A 19044-nucleotide genomic window follows, 5' to 3' on the forward strand; every position below is an offset into this window, starting at 1 on the left:
TAAGTGATCCTTAAAAATGTTTTAAAATAGCCTTTTATAACTTGGGAAAATGTTCACAATATAAACTGTGCAGAATGAATTTACACATCCCAATTGTGGGTTTTATTATATATTATATTATATTTTTATCCAATATAACACTAAATTATATTATTTCATATCATATAAAATGTTACATAAATAACATATTCACAAATAGTGGCTATTTTTGGTTGTGTGATTATGAGTGACTTTTATTTTCCTCATTATATTATTTTCCCAGTAAAAAAAATATATGGTTATTATATTTGGTTATTATAATAACCAAGTTACAGAATAATACAGTTACTATTTTTTTAAAGAAATTTAAATCCAGATTAAAACTGTTAAATGAAACTTTCTTCAAGAAAACCAGTTGTAGGAAAAAAGTCCTAGAGCATGCTGGTCCAGAACACAGAATCTGTAGTGACACAAACCTTTGTTACTTTTAACAGCGTGAGCCTGAGCAAGTCAGTTGATCTATGCCTCAGTTTTCTCATCTGTGAAATGGGGATAATAACAGCCTCTAATCATAAGACAGCCACGAATCTTAAGTAAGAGACATTGTTAAGTTTCTAGTAGCTTGCCTGGAATACGTGGTCTTCAAATACTGATAACTAGCTAGTCTGAAGGGAGCTGGAAACCAGCTTTGAATGGATTGGTCTTGGCCAGTAAAAGTGGCTGCAGCACCCTTGGGTCCTTATACTCCAAACAAACATGGCCGTGCTTTGTGCAAATCCAGGTGGCTTTGCATTTGGCTAAAGCATCCTTGTGACCCAGAGTTTCCTGAAAGGATCATAAGTGTCATTTTGTAAACCATCATTCCATGTGGCCATGGAGACTCATCAGCGAGACACGGGGGCTGCCAGCTCTGATAACAGAGATCAGTACTTAACATGCATGCATCATCTCCAATTCACACAGACACAGCCAAGCAAGTACCATGTGCATTTTACAGATGTAGATCATAAGGCTCAGAGAACTTCAGAAACACCCAAGGTCTCAGAGCTGTTCAGTGCAAGAATTCACACCCAGACCCATCTGATGTCAAAGCCTACACTTCCCCACTACACACACACACACACACACACACACACACACACACACACACACACAGAGTAAGCTCTTAGCCTCAGGATGTCTCTGAAAAAGCGCTGAGCAGACAAGGAGGGAGGCAGCCCCCAAGCAGTGGCCAAGCCATCAGTGGGTAAAGAGAGAAGAGACAACAATATCCTTCCTTTCCTCCATTCTAAAAGCAGGAACGTGTTCCTTGCTTCTCCTGTTCGCAGCTAGAGACCAAACCCCACTCTGCCTCTCAGGAGAAGTGGTCATACCCTGTCACTTCTGGTTCTTTGGAACAAAAGCTGCCTAGGTCAGAGGTGAGGACACAGCTCTGCAAAGCCTGACTTCAAGAATAATAGCACCAGAAGAAAAAAACGTGAAGTACCTGAAGAAGAGCAGTAACATTAGCAGAAATCATTGCTGTCCAAAATAATTTGCAGCTTCTCTTGATGTTAACCAGCTGGAGTTGTAGTTACCCCAGGTTTTTAAGTCACAATTGTGAATTAAAAAAATTATAACAAGGAAGACAGCTAACATGTTTTCCACATTTAATTTACTGTGCTAAACATAATATAGCTTCTAAAATTCCTAACAAAGACCCAGTCCCCTGAGAATGAATTTTACTATCCTGATTGCCCCAAATGATTCACGAATAAAGTATGAGTACTTATGCTCCAGGTTAGCAAGGAAGTGAGAAGCTGCAGCAAAGGATGACAACACCAAAGGCCTGAGAGGAAGGGGCTATAGCCAAAACGGTGGGTGGGGGAGGAGGCTGAGTGTTCCACTGGAAGAAACATCAACTGGGGTGTCTGCTCAGGGCTTGGGAAATGTTCCAGAGCCTGGCTGAAGGAGGAGCTTGTGGGCCACCCTGACAGGGTCTGTAACTCTTTGGCTCTCAAATTTCTAGACCAGCACTTCTGATTCCCACCCGGACATACCTTACTGCAAGATACCTTGCATGTACCTTAATGATTCTTGCTAGAATTTCAGATGTCTGGTAAAGTCTTTTGATTTTTAACCTAAGCCTAATAAAATGCTTTTTTAAATAATAGTACATTTGAGATAACAATAACTAATATACATTGGGCATTTACCTTAATAAGTTTTACATGTTTCAGCTGTTAAATTCTCCCAACCCTTACTGATGAAGAAAATCCAGCACAAAGAGGTTAAGTAATTTGCCCCGGGTCTTCTTTTCTGAAGGAATAAAGAAATAGCTCTCCAAAGTTAAAATGCAGATACTGTGCCCCACCCTAGGGTTTTCGATTCAATAAAGCTAGGGTGGGTCCTGTAGATTTGCATTTCTTATAAGTTCCAGGGTGATGCTGATGCTGCTGGTCCGGGGACTAAACTTTGAGAACCAATGGTCTAGACCAGGGATCAGCAAGTTTTTATCACTATTAAAGGGCCAGATAGTAAATGTTTTTGCTATCTTGTATAATTTGCAGGATGAAAGGTAAAATCGAGGATATTATATGAGTACTTATATACCCATCTAAAATGTAACCACTTAAAAATGTAAAATCCATTCCTAGCTATCAGGCTGTACAAAACAGATGGCACGCTGAATTTGGCTTATGGACTGTAGTTGCCTGGCCCCTCATCTAGACACTAGACCAATTTCTGGTCTTGATCCCAACTGCCCCCTGACCCCACAACTGTTTTCTTGCTTTTCCTGAGGTCCCAGCTACCTAATGGCCTAATCGGGGAAGTACACCTTAGCTTCAAGCTGCTGGAAAGGTCAATGAATGTCCAGCACGGACCATGAAATGCTCAGGACAGTGGTAGAACTGCCACTAAGGAAAGGAAACCTCTTCTATTGCTGGCTCCAAACCTCTGGTGCCCAGGAACATCCTGGTCACTATGAATCTGAAATGTTCCATGTTGATTGATGATGTTGGAAACTGATCATTTGTTTGATTTTTCCAGGGCCAGATAACATTAAAAGTGTTAAACACTAAACAACATTTAGTGTTGTTTTCTTTGAGAATAAAGGATTCTTAGAGCTTTTAAAATGGTAATGATGATAATAAAGGCATCCGAACAACTGTATTCTTTTTTTGCTGTTTTTTTTTTTTCTTTTTTTTTGACACAGAGTCTCACTCTTGTCACCCAGGCTGTGGTGCAACGGTGCGATCTCGGCTCACTGCAAACTCTGCCTCCCGGGTTCAAGCAATTCTCCTGCCTCAGCCTCCCAAGTAGCTGGGAACACATGCGTATACCACCATGCCTGGCTAATTTTTGTATTTTTAGTAGTGATGGGGTTTCACCATATTGGCCAGGCTGGTCTCGAACTCCTGACCTCAGTTGATCCACCTGGCTTGGCCTCCCAAAATGCTGAGATTACAGGCGTGAGCCACCACGCCCAGCCTGTAGTTTGTTTTTAAAACATAAAATTCTTGGCATATTTTCCATAACCCAAAAGTAGAAGTTCTGGTACTAAGGTTATTTTATATTTATCAGGAGTGGTCCATCAGAGGGTTTTGTATTCTGCAGAATTTTTGTGTTCATGGGCTTCCAATTCTGAAGGCATCCACTTTCATCCCTGGTATTTACAAACAGGAAAAGAAAGCACAAGCCTCACACAGAAAGTAACCTCGACATTTCCCCAGGATGTTTACAGAATGGGCAGTGTGGAGAAGACATTCCAATAATGATGCCTGACCACTGTCGGGTTTTTCAATAACAAGTCTGGGTTGTCCTTTCACTCACACACATTATGAAACATGTGAAGAATTCCCTGTGTTATTCCAGTTATAGGGAGCATGACTCAGAACCGGTCTCCATACTGTGATCTGCTGGGGAACAGCAGGGTAAGCCCTACTGCTTTTCTGAAGATTCCTAGAGAGTTCTGCAAAATGGATAAATCTGGCCTTCAATGGCTTCCAGCAAGTTCTAAACAGACTGTCAGCATCTTCCCCATGAGTTCAGTCTGCATAAAGGTTTTCATGCCTTTTCACTGTAAAAGCATCCTCCATCATGGTCCCTGGAATGGAAATAAAAAGTAGATGCCAGAACCAGCTGCCAACATGTGCACTTCTACTTACTGAGAAAAACTGAGATCAAGGGAATGACAGAAAAGAAGGGGAAGGTATCAAACATCCCATGCAAGTACCTGCGTTCTGTTTGCTCTGGTCAGAATCTAATGGCCCTTGTTCTTGTTACTGTGCCATCTTTTACAAAAGGGCATCGATGTTGGGAAGCAGTGTGCTGTGGTTGACAGGCCCCTGTAAGATTGGAAGAACTCCCTCTTCCAGGATCATCTCGAAAGGTGGTGACTCTATCAAATGTTAGGCATTCCCCTTCCCTAATTAAGTTTCCCAATCCCTTATCTGAAATGCTTGTGAGGCCAGATGTGTTTTGGAATTTGGAATTTTTGCAATTCTAAAAGAAATTTGGAAAGTCAAATGGTGGTTGCCAGGGGCTGGGGAAAGGGGAAAACGGGGAGTTGTCTGATAGGTACAGAGTTTCAGTTTAATAAGTAAAAAGAATTCTGGAGATTGGTTGCACAACAATGTGAATATACAAACACTATTGAACTGTACCCTTAAAAGTGGTCAAGATAGTAAATGTTGTGTTATATGTATTTTACCACAATTTTTTAAAAAAGTCATTTAATTCATATATTCTATGCTTCCAAATACCTGGGTATTTTCAGGGTAGTACTCTGAAATCAAACACATGGATATTTCTACAGTAAAATGTACAACTAGTCTCACTAACTGAGATTTACAAAATATCATAAATAGCCTCATGTTAATTCAAGTCAGTTTTGCCACCAAGGGAGTTTGCTGAACATTCACTGAAAGACTTTTTATTTTCAGGGGGCTGTGGAATTTCGAATTGCAGTTTTCAGGAACAGTGAGCCTGTAGCTGTCACTCACCCACCCTACCTTTGCGCAACATTTTCATTACCCACAGTTTACAGAGGAGAAAATAGAAACAAGAAGTAACAGTAGTAGGAAAGTAGTCATTTGCCCAAGGACAGCTAGCTAGTTGGGATCCAAACTGCCTGGTACCACTGTTAAGCCCTCACCTTAACTTCAGGCTACCCTGGGCACAGACAGGCTCACCCAACTACAGAATCTTAAAGAGGTCTCTTGAAGTTTTAAGGAAGATTGCCAGAAGATTCATCCCAATATAGGCACTAGTGGAAAGTGTGTGGGATGGGGCTACCTGGGGTCTTTGGTAATGGCCTCCCCATCTTAGAAGGCCATAACCCTGACCTCTAACCAGCCCCTGATAAATACCCTTCTCCAAACCAGGAGCGAGAGTGGAAAAACTACTGCTCTGTGGCCGTTGGGACTGCCCTTTGATTTTTTTTTTGTTTGTTTGGTTACTCAGGCATAAAGTACAGAATCTTGCCAATCAGGTGAGCTTTTCCAATGCTAATAGCCGCTTTAGGCTGGAACTGTTCTCAAGAAATGAAGGTATGCAAATTAAGTGTCTTTGATGCCTCCTGCATATTCCAGGGGAAATGAGACCAAAAGAGTTCTGAAGCCCCATGAAGAGCTAATGAGAAATGGCTTTCGGCTTTCACCTCTCATGTCATGGGTCACCTGCCCTATCCTTTGGTTAGGAATGTTCCCTACTTGCAGATACTGTATCAAAATTGATCTTCCTAACAGACCTGCATTTGCAATGCCTGTCTTCTGCACATCAACATCAGTGCCATGGGAAACTCGCTATGTTGGTCAGTTTCCACATCGCAGCACTGTCCTGGCTGAGGAAGGACGGAGCCAGTCCTCAAGCCCTCAGCACAGCTGATCCTATTAGGAAGGAGCTGAAGAGCCAAGGCCAGTGTTCTGGAGGAGCTGGCACGAAGGCTGGTTTCCCGTGCAATGTCTTTGAGAGGATGGCGTGGGGAGAAGATGCTTTACAGAAAATGAGCCCTCTGCCCTTTCTGGTGTCAATTTAGCAGTAGTAATTCCCTAAGAAATGCAGCCAGGGTGCTGGTCAGCTGCTGGTGGGGTTGACATTGACTCTATTCTTAGCACAACTTATCCAGCAAGGGAAAGCCTTTCGTTCGGAGGTGTTTGGACTCCCTTGCTAGTTAGGTTAAACAAAGAGTTTAACCTCTCTGTTGACTGAGAGAATACCTCAGGCTTTCAACATGCTGCATTTAAAGAGAACAGGTAGAACTTCCATAAATCCCTGAGTCATCACAGCTGAGCAAGCCATCTTTACATCCTGGAGCTGACAGTGTGTGACGTGACGAATGTTTAAACACACATGTACACCCCACGCATCAACACACACTCCTTCACACACACATAAACACACACACATATAGGCAAACACACACACATTCTCCATACACACACACACACACTACGCACAGCCCCCACTGGGCTGAGTTTAGCTGAAATGCTAGGTCCTGAACTTAGAATAACAGCCCTGATGTATTTGACACTACTCAAATGCATGTGGAGTCTTTTTAACCAAATACCACATTTCAGAAGAAACTATGTGTATGTGTATGTGCATGTGCATGCATGTGTGCATACGTGTGTGGTCTCACACATCTGATGCCAGGATAAGGAGCCATGCCCTGAATAAGTAGGCACTCAAATCCGTCATACTCTCACCTCTCTCCCCGACAGATATTAGGGATCTTGTGTCCAGACTCGGTTTCTAGGACTGCCACTTCCTCCTTTCAATGTTCTGACCCGTGATGATGAGCTAGACACATCCACTCAGTCATGACCCTGAAGTTCTGCCGCCTCTTTAGGTCCTGACTGTCCCTTCTGGGTGAGAGGCAGAGTACCAGGAGCAGTGGGCCTGTGCTCCGAAGTTTGTGGCTGTTAGGGATGGGGCAAGGGTGTAAAGAAGGCAGAAGGCCTGGGAGGAGAAAGCACCTGAGAGCCAGATGTCAGGGTTACCAGAAAGATGGGTCAAGATCTTCACTTTTAGATGTGAGATGCCAGTGTGTACAAGCCCACTTGATGGGCTTTAAACCACATTGGTGTGAATAAAGAATGTCAAGATTGCTTTGTTTCTAGATACTGCTGAATCGAAACAGAAAGACTCATAACTCACGAAAGTTAAGAGAATTCCAACCCCTTCATGTAACTGATGAGGAAAAGTAAGGGTGGGATTTATGTAACTTGCCCAAGTCAGGGAATGACAGAGGTGGTACCAGAACATAATTCTCCCAGTTTCCAGTCCATTTCTCTTTCAACTCTAACGTGAAGAACAGAGAAAAATATAAAACTCATTTGACTGTATATAAGCAAGACTAAAAAGAATAATAAATAATCATTGCTTTTCATCTATAGCAAATAATACAGCAGTCTCAGGTATATCATTAATGTGTATCAGATTCACCTCAATTTTTTGCAAGTAAAGCAACTCTAATCCCGGGGCCAGCTACATAATTTGTAGAATACAGTGCAAAATAAAAATGTAGGGCTCCGGCCTGGGGCAGGGAGGTTAGTCTTCCCCTTTGCTGAGGGGCCCACCACTCCAACCCACCACAGATGGGTGGTTCCCAAGGGATTGAAAACTCTGCACAGGGATGTGTGTGGTACCTGGATGACGGGGATGCGGGGGTGAGAGGTCCCCTGAGTCACTTGCCAAATGCCATCTTGGGATGGGGGGGATGATTGCTATGTCCCACTCCAAGACACTGCGGGCACGCACCCAATCCTGACCCTCCCCATGTTTGCACCCAGGCTCCTACCAGGGGCATAGAGGGATAATGAAGAACAGGCCTCCCTGCTTTCATGTGACCTGGTCACTGCCCAAGACAGGCGGTCACAGTGGTAGCGGGATTGGAGCAGAAAGGGAGAGGCCAGGTGGGGCCAGGGAACCAAGGGGCCAGGGAGAAAGTGACAGAGAACCCAACTCCAGAAGGCAGGATGTTGGCGAGAGGTGGACCGTGAGTGAGGCCACGTCCCAGGCCCCAGCTCGTGCTCCACTGTCTCCTCAGACTTCACTTATAAAGCGGACATTCAAATATTAAAAACACTAAAAATTTCAAGACGCTACCTCAAAGCACTACACCCCAAGCATGGAACTCTTTCTAGTGTAAGGCCTTGTGTGGCCCCTCTAGTCACAGTCCCATGCAGCCAGCCCTGAAAAAACCTCACTGAGGTGTGTGTGTGCAGTTTCCTGCTGCACACACAGCGTAACTAAGTGCTCCTGGGTTGGCAGAAGGAAAGGAGCCCTGTGCCAGCAGGATGGCCAGTGGATGCTGTGTTCATCTGCTAGGGCTGCCATGACAAAGTGCCACAGACTGGCGGCCCAAACCACATAAACAGATTTTCCCACAGTTCTGAAGGTTGGAAGGCCTAGATAAGGTATCTGAAGGTTGGGTTTCTCCTGAGGCCTCTCTCCTTGGCTTGCAGATGGGGCTTTCTCTCTGTGTCCTCATGGGGGACTTTCCTCTGGACATGCTTGCGTCCAGATTTCTTCTTCTTATGAGGGCAAAGTCAAAGCCCACTATAATGACCTTATTTTAATTTAATTAGGTCTTTAAGACCCTGTCTCCAAATACTGTCACATTCTGAGGTCCTGGGGGTCAGGGCTTCAACATACGGATTTTGGGGAGGACACCATTTAGCTCATAATGGACACCACTTCTCAAGTGCTGAATACCAGTAGAAGCGATCTTGGAAAATGGCTCTCTAAGAATCCAAACCCACTTTTTTTTGGAGATGGAGTCTCACTCTGTCGCCAGGCTGGAGTGCAGTGGTGCGATCTCAGCTCACTGCAACCTCCGCCTCCCGGGTTCAAGCGATTCTCCTGCCTCAGCCTCCCGAGTAGCTGGAATTACAGGCATGTGCCACCACACCCAGCTAATTTTTGTATTTTTAGTAGAGATGGGGTTTCACCATGTTGGCCAGGATGGTCTCAATCTCTTGACCTTGTGATCCACCTGCCTCAGCCTCCCGAAGTGCTGGGATTACACCAAACCCACTTTTGTGGCTTATTTGGGGGGAACATTTCTAAACCTCCTAATTATATCAATTTCCTCTGCTATATACTCTTACAGCATTTGTCACAATGTTCATGCATACGATTTTGTGATTTTTTGTTTAAGTTCTTTTTCCACTAGACTGTAAGTCTCTGAGGGCAGGGTCTAATTTGACAGGTTCAGAGCTGTGTCCCTTAGTATCTGACAAATTAAAATTTCTTGAGGAAAAGGAGGTCAATCAATGACACACAAAGCAATGTAATTAAAGGTCTTAACTTTCTCATTTTTGGCTTACTGGCCCAAAAAGTGCCCTAGGGGATTCATTAATCTGCCTTTGAAGAGGAAGATTAGAGCATAAAGTACATTGATAATTTCCTCAAACATCTGATGTCAAATCTAACAAGTAAACTTCCTTCCCCGTAAAAAAAAAAAAAAAAAAAATGTGGTGATGTGTGAGACTTCCAGCTGCTGCACAGAAATGGGACACCACGGGGGTGGGAGTGTTTGTCTTCCCAAACATTGGCATCAATTGAGCTGTGGGACAAATTCATAGTTATCATTAATTGCTGTCTAAGAACACATTTGCCTTGCCTCAGTGGCTCCCAGTGCTCTTGGAATGCTGAGACCCTTGCCCCAGGTAAGACTGATATCTACTCATACCTGCAGCACCACACTGTAAACATACCTCATTTACTCATGCAATTAATTAACAGACATTTATTAAATGATTACTATGCATCGGACACTAGGCTTGATACTTAAAATACAAAGATGTGTCTACTGGTGGAAATAAGATCCAAGTTCAACAGGATAATCACTAATGAAGCTATAATTCACTCATTTACTCATTCATTCATTCATTCAACATTTACCAGATGCTCATGACTATGGCCAGCTCTGTCTTAGGCAACTGAAGGATACTGCAGAGAACAAAAGCGAGAAAGTATTTGCCTGGATTGAGCATATTTCTGGTTCATGGAAGACAGACAATAAACCAATACACAAATAAGCAGCTAAAATAACATCGGGTGATGACAAGTGCTGTGAAAAAATAAAGTAGGATAAAGGGCTTACAAAGTGACGGAGGAAAAGCTATCTTAAACAGTGGTCAGGGAAGGCTTCTCTGGGTATTTTGAGTTCATTAGCATGAAAGGGTGAGCCATAAAGAAATTTGGGAGAGGAGTGTTCCAGGCAGAGAGAACAGCCAGGGCAAAGGCCCTGCAGTGAGCCCACTTCAAGGAACACTGGAGAGGCAGAAAAGGAAGGGGAGAGTGGTGGGAGATGAGGTGGATGATAACAAGGGGTCACATCAGAATGCAGATTGAGCTCAAGAAACGGTGGGGGCCAGCAGGCCTCGGAGGCAGTCCAGGGTGGGGGAAGGCAGCACTATTCGAAATGAGACTGGAAGAATGCCAGAAATCTACTTAGTGGACTGGATGAGAATTTGTCCTCCCCCTGCCCACAGGAAACTAAAAACTATGTATGCTCTAGGCTCAGAGACAAGCACCCAGTTTGCTAGGATTGCTGTGGCCAATTGGCTGGGCCTCAGGGCCTCATCTTCCATATCATCCTCCAAGGCCCCTGCCTCTTTTGTATCTGCCAGAAAACACACCTGCTCCTCTCTACCCAAGAGCTCTCTCAGGCCTCCATCTCTACATTTCTGCCTGCTTCAATATTTTGTTCACCCTTGTATCCTAATTACCCGGTGTCTGGCACAGTGTGAGTGTGGGAGCTCGCTGAGTAAATGAAATCACTTGCTTTCTTTTTCTATCTGCGTCTATCCATCCATCCATCTATTCATCCATCCAACCATCCATCCATCCATCCACCCACCCTTCTTTCCTTCTATCCATACATACATATATACATGATCTGCTTTTCTCCAAAATAAAGATTTTAAGTAGTCCTTTCATTTTTAACTACACCCTCAGGCCACAAGTCACAACCCTTGCCACATCTTTGTCTCTGGTGCACATTCCTCTTTAGGAGTGAGGTAAGTTGCAACTACTGCTGGTTTGCAGGCCATTCAGATCATACACTGAATTTCTCCAGGAAAGGGTGGCTATCCTCAGGGGTTAAACTGGCTCCATATAGGTAAAATAGAAGTATCTAATAAGCTATAAAATGCATCACAGACAGTAAGTTCAATACTTCAGTTGAACATATTTAAGTTCCTGCCGTGGCCAGGAACTCTGACAGATCTTGGGAACACCCCTGGGCATAAGCAGACATGATTCCTGTCCCAACTGAGCTTCTTGTCTAGGGAAAGACATAGGCAGATACTCATCATATGATAGAGCCTGTGGTAGGGTATGAAGTAGGTAGTGTTCTAATGGAAGCCATGCATGGGTCTCACAGAATAAGTAGAAGTCACTCAGAAAAGCATTTGGGGAGAACACGTTTCAGGGAGAAGGAGTCTAAGGGCAAAGGGTAGCAGTGATGAAAAGCAAAGCTTCTTTAATGAATAAAAATGAGGTCAGGATGGCACCAGGCTATATTTGGAGTGACAAGAGAATGTGCTCCCAAAAGGTACTAAAAGAGCTGGGTCTTTATCCTAAGGGTAATGGGTTCACTGATAGGCTTTAGTCATGGGAAAGATATGATTTGATTTGTGTTTTGGAAATATTTCTCTGACTTCTAATGGAAGACATCAAGGGCAGATAGACTAGTTAGAAGGCTGCTGCAATCATCCAAGTGAGAGGCGACAGATGCTGGGGCACAGTAATGATACTGGGGAAAGGCAGACAATGTAGAAAGCTATTTGGGAAGGCAGAAATGACAAGACTTGGTAATAATGTGAGTTGGTTGAGGACACAGATTAAAGAAGGCCACCCTCACCAGGGGTTTACTTGCCACATAGAGCTTTGAAGCTAGAAATGTTGTCATTTGTTTTGGGTTTTCTTTCTTTCATTTTTTTAAAAATGAAAGACAGGGTTTCACTGTCACCCAGACTGGAGTGCAGCAGCATGATTATAGCTCACTGCAGCCTCAATCTCCCAGCCCAAGCAATCCTTCTGCCTCAGCCTTCTGGGTAGCTGGGAGTACAGGTGTGAACCACCACTTCTGGCCAATTAAAAAAAATTTTTTTGGTAAAGATGATGTCTTGCTATGTAGCCCAGGCTGGTCTTGAACTCCTGGGGTCAGGTGATCCTCCCACATAGGCCTACCATAGCACTGGCATTGCAGGCATGAACTGCTGTACCCAGATCTTTGGGGGTTTTCTTTAGAGTGAATCTCACTTTCTCATCAGAACTTCTGATGACTCTATGGGTGAGGGGTGGAAAGCTCAGAGGCTCTCTCAGGCCTTTGCAGGATGAAGCCAGAAGGTGGGTCAGAACAGAACAAGCCTCCTCCTGCCTCCACCCAAGGCAGATGGCAGCACAGGAATGATGAAGGGAAAACTCAAAGCTACTTATTCATTGCCCTGCAGAGTTGTGGGAAATGCCAGAGAGCTTAGATAGTGAACACATCAAGTAACATTTATTTAGTATTAAGACTTTCTGTCCTACAAAAGAACCATCTATCAGGTGAAACTGATCCTTTGCTCATATTGTTCCAAAGGCACCCTCCCACCTTAGAATGCCTCCCACAGTGCTCTTGGCTGTTCTAGTTCAGTTCTGCAGCCTCTGCCACTGTGACAGGATGGGCTCAGCACAGAGCATCCTGGAGGAGATAAGACAAGCAGATGTTGTGTTTCCTGGAGAGCCGTCTCCTTATTGGGGCATGGAAACCCAGACACCTGAAGTGATGAAGGAACATACCAAAAGACTATCCAGTGCTGAGGAAATGCAAAGAAGAAGATTATTTGCATGAAGGCTGGTTAATGAAAAAAGGCTTTAAAAAAAAACTGAGTATCTCAGAGCTACAGAGAAATTGTGCTGAGGCCTCTGGCACTCTGAGTACCTAAAGTGTTGGTCTCGAATTTTATTAAGCAAACAAAACTAATAGGGTTATTATTTTATCTCCCTATACATTCATGCATTAAGCATTTCCCCAAATTTTCACCAACAGTCTTTTCATCCCTCTCGTTAGTAAAATCTTGAAGCACTTTATCAATCCTCCCACCAGTTCTTACGGCAGATAATAATAATAACATATATGCACATGCCACCCCTCCAAAAAACAGAAGAAAAAATAAAAAACAAATATAGAGCAATAATTAAAATGTTCGCTATCTCATAGCAAAGCAAAGCACAAACTACTGTGAAGCCACCTCTATTCACAAGGCAATCAAGTAATCAAGAAATTCAAGACAAGACTCAGGCAGGTTGTGTCAAGAAGTGTTTGTGTTAGCCAATTCCAATAGTACCATCTACTGAGTACATGTTAAACTCAATGTGGAGTATGGTGGTCACTTAGAATCTTCAACTCACTGGATTTCCATGAAATCAGAACAAAATTATAAATATCCCCCAAGTTTATAACTTTGTTCTGATTTATCAGATTGGTGATCTGACAAGCTAATAAATTCCAAGGAGCTAGTGTTAATGGTATTATACCATTTACATTTATTTATATTAGAGCATGTAATTTTTAAAAAGCATCTCACAATTTCCGAATGTCTTAAATAAGAAGTTTACTTGAGGCTTTGATTTCGTGCAATAGACAAGATATTCTTAAACATCCTCCAGTATTAAGCCCCTAACAATAGTAAAACATGAAAGAAAGAAGAAATCCTCAGAGGCCAAAAGTAGAAAAAAATTAAGCAAAACAATTCAGGGAGAAAAGTAAAAGATGCAGCATGATGATGTTCTTTATGTGTCAACATGGTTAGGCTGCAGTCCCCGTTATTCAATCAAACACTAATCTGGGTGTTGCTAGGAAGGCATTTTGTAGATGTGATTAAAGCCTATAATCAGTTGGCTGTTAGTAAGGAAAATTACTCTTCATAATGTAGCAGGCCTGATTTAATCAGTCGAAAAGCAGAACTGGGTCTAGAGCAGAGCTGAGGCTTTCCAGAAGAAGAAATGTTGTCTTTTTTGAGCACAGCTGTTTCAGCCTGTGCCCAAGAGTTCTAACCTGCCCTTTTGGATGGCCTGCCCATGAATTTGGGACTTGCCTAGCCAGCCCCCACTACTGCATGAGCCAATTTCTTGCAATGAATTTCTTAATATATATTTCCTACTGGTTGTTCTTATCTGATTGAACCCCTGACTGGCACATGGCACTGGTAGCTCATCTGGGATATGTGCTGCTCCCTATTTTTGCTCCGGGGAAAAAAGACATTAGGACTCATAGGGTTAAAAGTCAGTCTAGGGACTAAGCGAAAAAGGAAAACAGAAAACAAGCAAACAAAGTAAGTAAAGTAAGCAAATAAAGTGGGCCTTGACTCTGGGTCCAGGGGAGACAACTATTCATTGAGAATCTATAGCCACAAGCCATAGATTTAGGGCCCATAGATTAGGGCCCTAATTCACAACAGGATATGTGTGACTTTAACATTAAACATAATGAGATACCACTTCATATTCACCAGACTAACTACATGTAAAAGTGAGAATGCCAAGTACTAGATATAATATGGGAAAATGGGAACTCTCATTCACTGTTCTTGAACAATTTTGCATTATCTGTTAAAGTCATAGATGTATTTATCTTATTGGTTACTAATTTCATTCCACTACTGGGTGGAATGAACCCAGTACTGGGAATATCTATGAACCTGTGTACTAGGAAATATGGACAAGAAGGTTCTTTTCAACATAATGTATAATAGTCCAAGCCTGAAAGCAGTTCAGATCTACTCAAAGGAGATTGGATCGAGTGTGAAAGATTCATGAGATGGAAAAACTACAGAAGAGAAAATGAATGAATTATAGCTACATGTCCTAGCAACCCAATATTGAGTAGCAAAAGGTATAAAACATGCATTAAGATTCCAAATCTCTTGTTAGTCTTACTATATATTATAAAGATAAAACCAGGACTAGATCTCTACTTACTCATGTCCTATATCCAAGCTGTCAGTGCTTCAGACAAAGAGGTATATTCTATTTACAATTCTACCCAAAGAACCTAGGAAAAACCTGGCGCAAAGAAGATACCTAATGGATATTTGTTGAATGAATGAATAAATTTTGAACACAAGCATGTATGCCAGGAGCCAGACCCTGTTTTTCTAGCCTAGAGTTCTAATGCATGAAATCCCAGACTCTGACCTTACCTGCCAGGACCCTTTTCTGCCATAGATGACCCAGTATCTGTTCTCATCTGATTGATCTGACCAGTGTTAATTCTTCTTCCCCAGATTTCTGGAACAAAAGTTCCCACAGAGACTTCCACCTAACACCACTCAAATCCCAGTGTGATCATGTTCTCACCAAAAAGCCTTAGAGAAAGGAGCTTGTCATCGTTGATAAAATGAGGTTTTGAAATTTCCCCTGGATTTAATTCAGGGAAGCTTTATTTTCCCACTGTTTACCATAGATTCTAGAAAGTCGATCTTAGAGGAAACAAGAATTGCAGCAGGGCTTAGCAAACATAAGGCTTAGAAAAGCAAACAAAACTAGCATAACAACTTAAGAAAACATAGTTAAAATTGAGAAAATCAAAAACAAAATAGCATCACATTAAAGGCCTGGAAAACAGAAATTAAGTCATATTGTGACATTTGGGCACCTTTCTATGTGGGAAATAAAAATGAGTGAAAGGACAGATTTTAGGAGAAATGAATTGATATCCTTTCTCTCTTGAAGCACTAGGGTACTTTTAAATTACATCTTTCTTCAATATCTAGAGTGTTCCTCTTTGAACGTTACAAAAGCAAAATGCTCCATATATGGTAAAGGTGATCTTTTTTTCATATAATCACAGTAATTCAGTCTGGCAACATCAACTGACCTAAGCATGAAATGTACTTTAATGTTGGTTAATGACACCACCACTGTCAGTTAATTCTGTTCTCTCTGCAGGGCAATATGGTATAAGAACACTGCAATGACCTGGTTCAGCAAGGCCAAGAACATTTCATTACACCAAGATTTAAAAATTTTAAACGTCATGTGTAGTTTAAGAATATTCACAAGCACATTAGCAATTCTTGGATCTCTAGCTACTGTTTAAACAGTAACTATGCATTACACATATTGTCTGAGGAAGAGAGATGATCACACACAGTTGATACTTCAATATTTGGAAAAGGCATGTTTCTTTTTTCTTTCCATGAGTGACATATATATTAGACACTAATATACTCTAGTTTCATCTTCTTGGCTATGAAATACTCTTTGTCAGTTCCTTTTTGATGACTTACTGAATTCCTACTTTGCATTGAACCCTCTGTTACACACTGACTGGGGAGGGAATACCTATTCTAATAGGGCTTGTGAGAATTATTGATGAAACAAGGTGTATATTCAAGGAAGACTTAAAAAGTAAACCGGAGGCCGTATAAAGCTTCAGGTAGAATAGAACCGTGACTTGTGAGCTTGGCTATATTCTGACACCAATTATCTTGATGCTTTTGACAATTCTTTCCCTTCTCTGAGACACAACTATCTCTTTGGTGAAAGAAGGAAGGAAGCTACATAAGGCATCCTCAAAGGTTCTTCTAGTAGAGCTGTTCAATTCTGACACTCTGGGGTACTAAGCAGGTGTAAGAGAGTGTCTTTTTTGTGAATTTCTCTACCACATACTCTCTCATACTTGCTTAGTACCTCAAGGTACAAAGGTGGAGAAATTCCACCTGGTGGAAATTCTATCTGGTGGAGAAATTCACAAGGCAAAGATTGTATGGCATTAATCAGAGAAGGTTCTTTAGAAGTGGAAAGTCTTGAGATCGGCCTAGAAGAACAACATTAAATGGGATGACAAACATAATTGTGGTGTTGCATATGCCCTAATAGGGGGCCATGATAGTTGTAAACCCCACTCTTTTCTTATCCATCCCTTCTGTTTTCATGACTAAATATTTGCTATTCTCAATTCATTTGTAATTAACTCTGCCTCAATAGGGGAGTTATGAGAGAGAGGTGTTCAAGGTGGGTAGATAAGGAATAGTCTCACTCATTTCACAGAGCAAGGATGCCTACAGGAGTAAGTGTCCAGTCAAGATCACTCACTGTCCTAGTAACTTTCTCCACCGTATTGATGTTCTAGTGATTTAAAAGGTATAAAATCACAAAGTGTTCCCCATCACCCAGAGTGTAATAGGAATTGGGCAATTATCCAGGTGACTGGATCAATGACAAACAAGAGAACTCTAGATATTCACATTAAGACTAACTTATCTATACTGATACCTTCATCACTCAAATCAGCTACATGATATATTTCATCCCTTTTCTTGGTACTTGTTAGAGGATTTAGCCAGCAAGTTATCTAATTTAGAATAAAGCTGTAGTAGCTTACTGAAGTCAACAATTTAAAGCAGTTGTGTGTTTTTGTGTACAGAAAACATTTTAGACTCAAAAGTTTCTTGTTGCTTACATGCTCTGCTAAGATGATAGACGAAACTCCCAGGGAAGTTGCTATCTGGCATAGGGACTGGGTGAAGTCTGTAGAGAAGTTGCTTGTCCTCTTGTCCTTTCATTCTATTTGCAAAGCTCCAGTTCTGAGTCCCTCCTGCCATTTTCAGGATCCACCTTCCCTCACTGCCTCATCATCTGTTTTCCCTTTGAGGTCCATTGTTTCCAAATCCTCAAGACTCATAAATAATGTTAGGGATTCCTTTTGTTAACAGCCCCTCTGGCATTGTTTTTTTCTCTGAAGAAAGGAGACATTATGTAATATTTAAGAAACTGTCCCGATTCCCAATCCCGATAAACTAATGCATAGCTTATTATCTCCTACACACTAAGAAGAATGTGGGAGTTGCAAGGAAATGACTTGGATCAGTTTACTTCTGAAAACTACCTGAAATTATTTGGGACAAGGCCAAGAGGACCAATTCAGATCATTCTTGGGGCTTAAGGGCAGGGAACGCAGCTCAGCAAACTGCAGACACAACACTGTGTAGCCAAAAGAGGCTTTACTGAATTCATCATCTGACAATGTGTTGATAATTTTTTTCAGTTTTTCTTCACACATTATTATCGGCATCATCAAACATTTAAATCTGCCTTCCATATGCAGATGTGATGAGCTGTCTGGTAATATTCCATACTAATGTATTATAACACTGCTAATACTGAAAATCATTACGTCTTTATTTTAATTATTTTCCTGTAGACTATTCAGAAGAGTTTTTTAAAAAAAATTCATTGTAAATGTCTTATGAGCATCATCAATTAATGTGGCAAAGATGCTTTTATTTCCTTCTCATTAAGAATATGCAGAGACTCGAGTATTGACAAGTGAAAGGGTTTATACAAGCAAAAAGAATGTACACTTTCTGGCAAGAGAATACAGAAGAGATTTGAATGTCATGAAGATATTAAAAAAAAAAGAATACAGAGGAGATAAGAGACTTGAGTAAGAATAGGTCATGTTTTAATAAAACAACCAAAAGAACAAAACAGATTCTTCAACCCAGGAGGACATGTGAGTCACAATACCCTTTAATCCACAGGTTGGCTCCTTGGTTTCTGGAACTTTCTGCCTCCTGTAAACGATGTGCGGGTGGTACCCTCCCTCAACCAGTGGATGCTTCTTCACGGGTTCAATGAAAAAGTCTCCATGTGGTAGTTGGAAAAATCCAGTCTGTAAATACATTCAGTAAGAAAGTTTATTTTAACCAATTCTACATACCTACTAAAAACAAAGTGAAAAATTATATAGCTTATGAGTATCTCTGAAACTCCTAAGACCAGTGCTTTCAGAGTCTGCTGTTCGATCTCATAGAAGAGTTACATACAAATAATTTAGTGAAATATCTTTATAGTCATCGTTATTAAATATTTAGGAGTCACAGATCCATTTGTGACCTTATTGAAAAAAGTGCACACATACACATGTGTCCGAAATGTAGCCTACAATTCTTTAGGTTCACAGATTCCTCTAAAACCCATTGCTGGATATCTATGGATCCCAAATGAAGACCCAGTGCTTCCCAGTTGTTCTATTATGGAGTTGGGACCTATGTCCCACACTCCACTGACAACTTTTAG

At 41.7% G+C, this 19044-nt stretch overlaps 1 protein-coding gene across 5 annotated transcripts in view; it reads right to left on the minus strand.

Moving 5' to 3' along the window:
* The window catches only part of ADAMTS12 (ADAM metallopeptidase with thrombospondin type 1 motif 12), a 368456-nt gene that overhangs the window by 209377 nt on the left and 140035 nt on the right, over nucleotides 1–19044 (minus strand). For 3 of the 5 annotated variants that reach the window (NM_001324512.2, NM_030955.4, XM_017009905.2), the window contains exon 3: nucleotides 18493–18637. In NM_001324512.2, the coding sequence (NP_001311441.1) occupies nucleotides 18493–18637 (145 nt within the window). Of the gene's footprint in view, nucleotides 1–17425; nucleotides 17702–18284; nucleotides 18638–19044 lie in introns of those variants that run through there. The other 2 variants (XM_017009906.1, NM_001324511.2) reach the window with 2 other exon arrangements.

The sequence above is a fragment of the Homo sapiens genome, chromosome 5 (genome assembly GCF_000001405.40).
Source record: "Homo sapiens chromosome 5, GRCh38.p14 Primary Assembly".
In the NCBI taxonomy this organism is placed as follows: domain Eukaryota; kingdom Metazoa; phylum Chordata; class Mammalia; order Primates; family Hominidae; genus Homo; species Homo sapiens.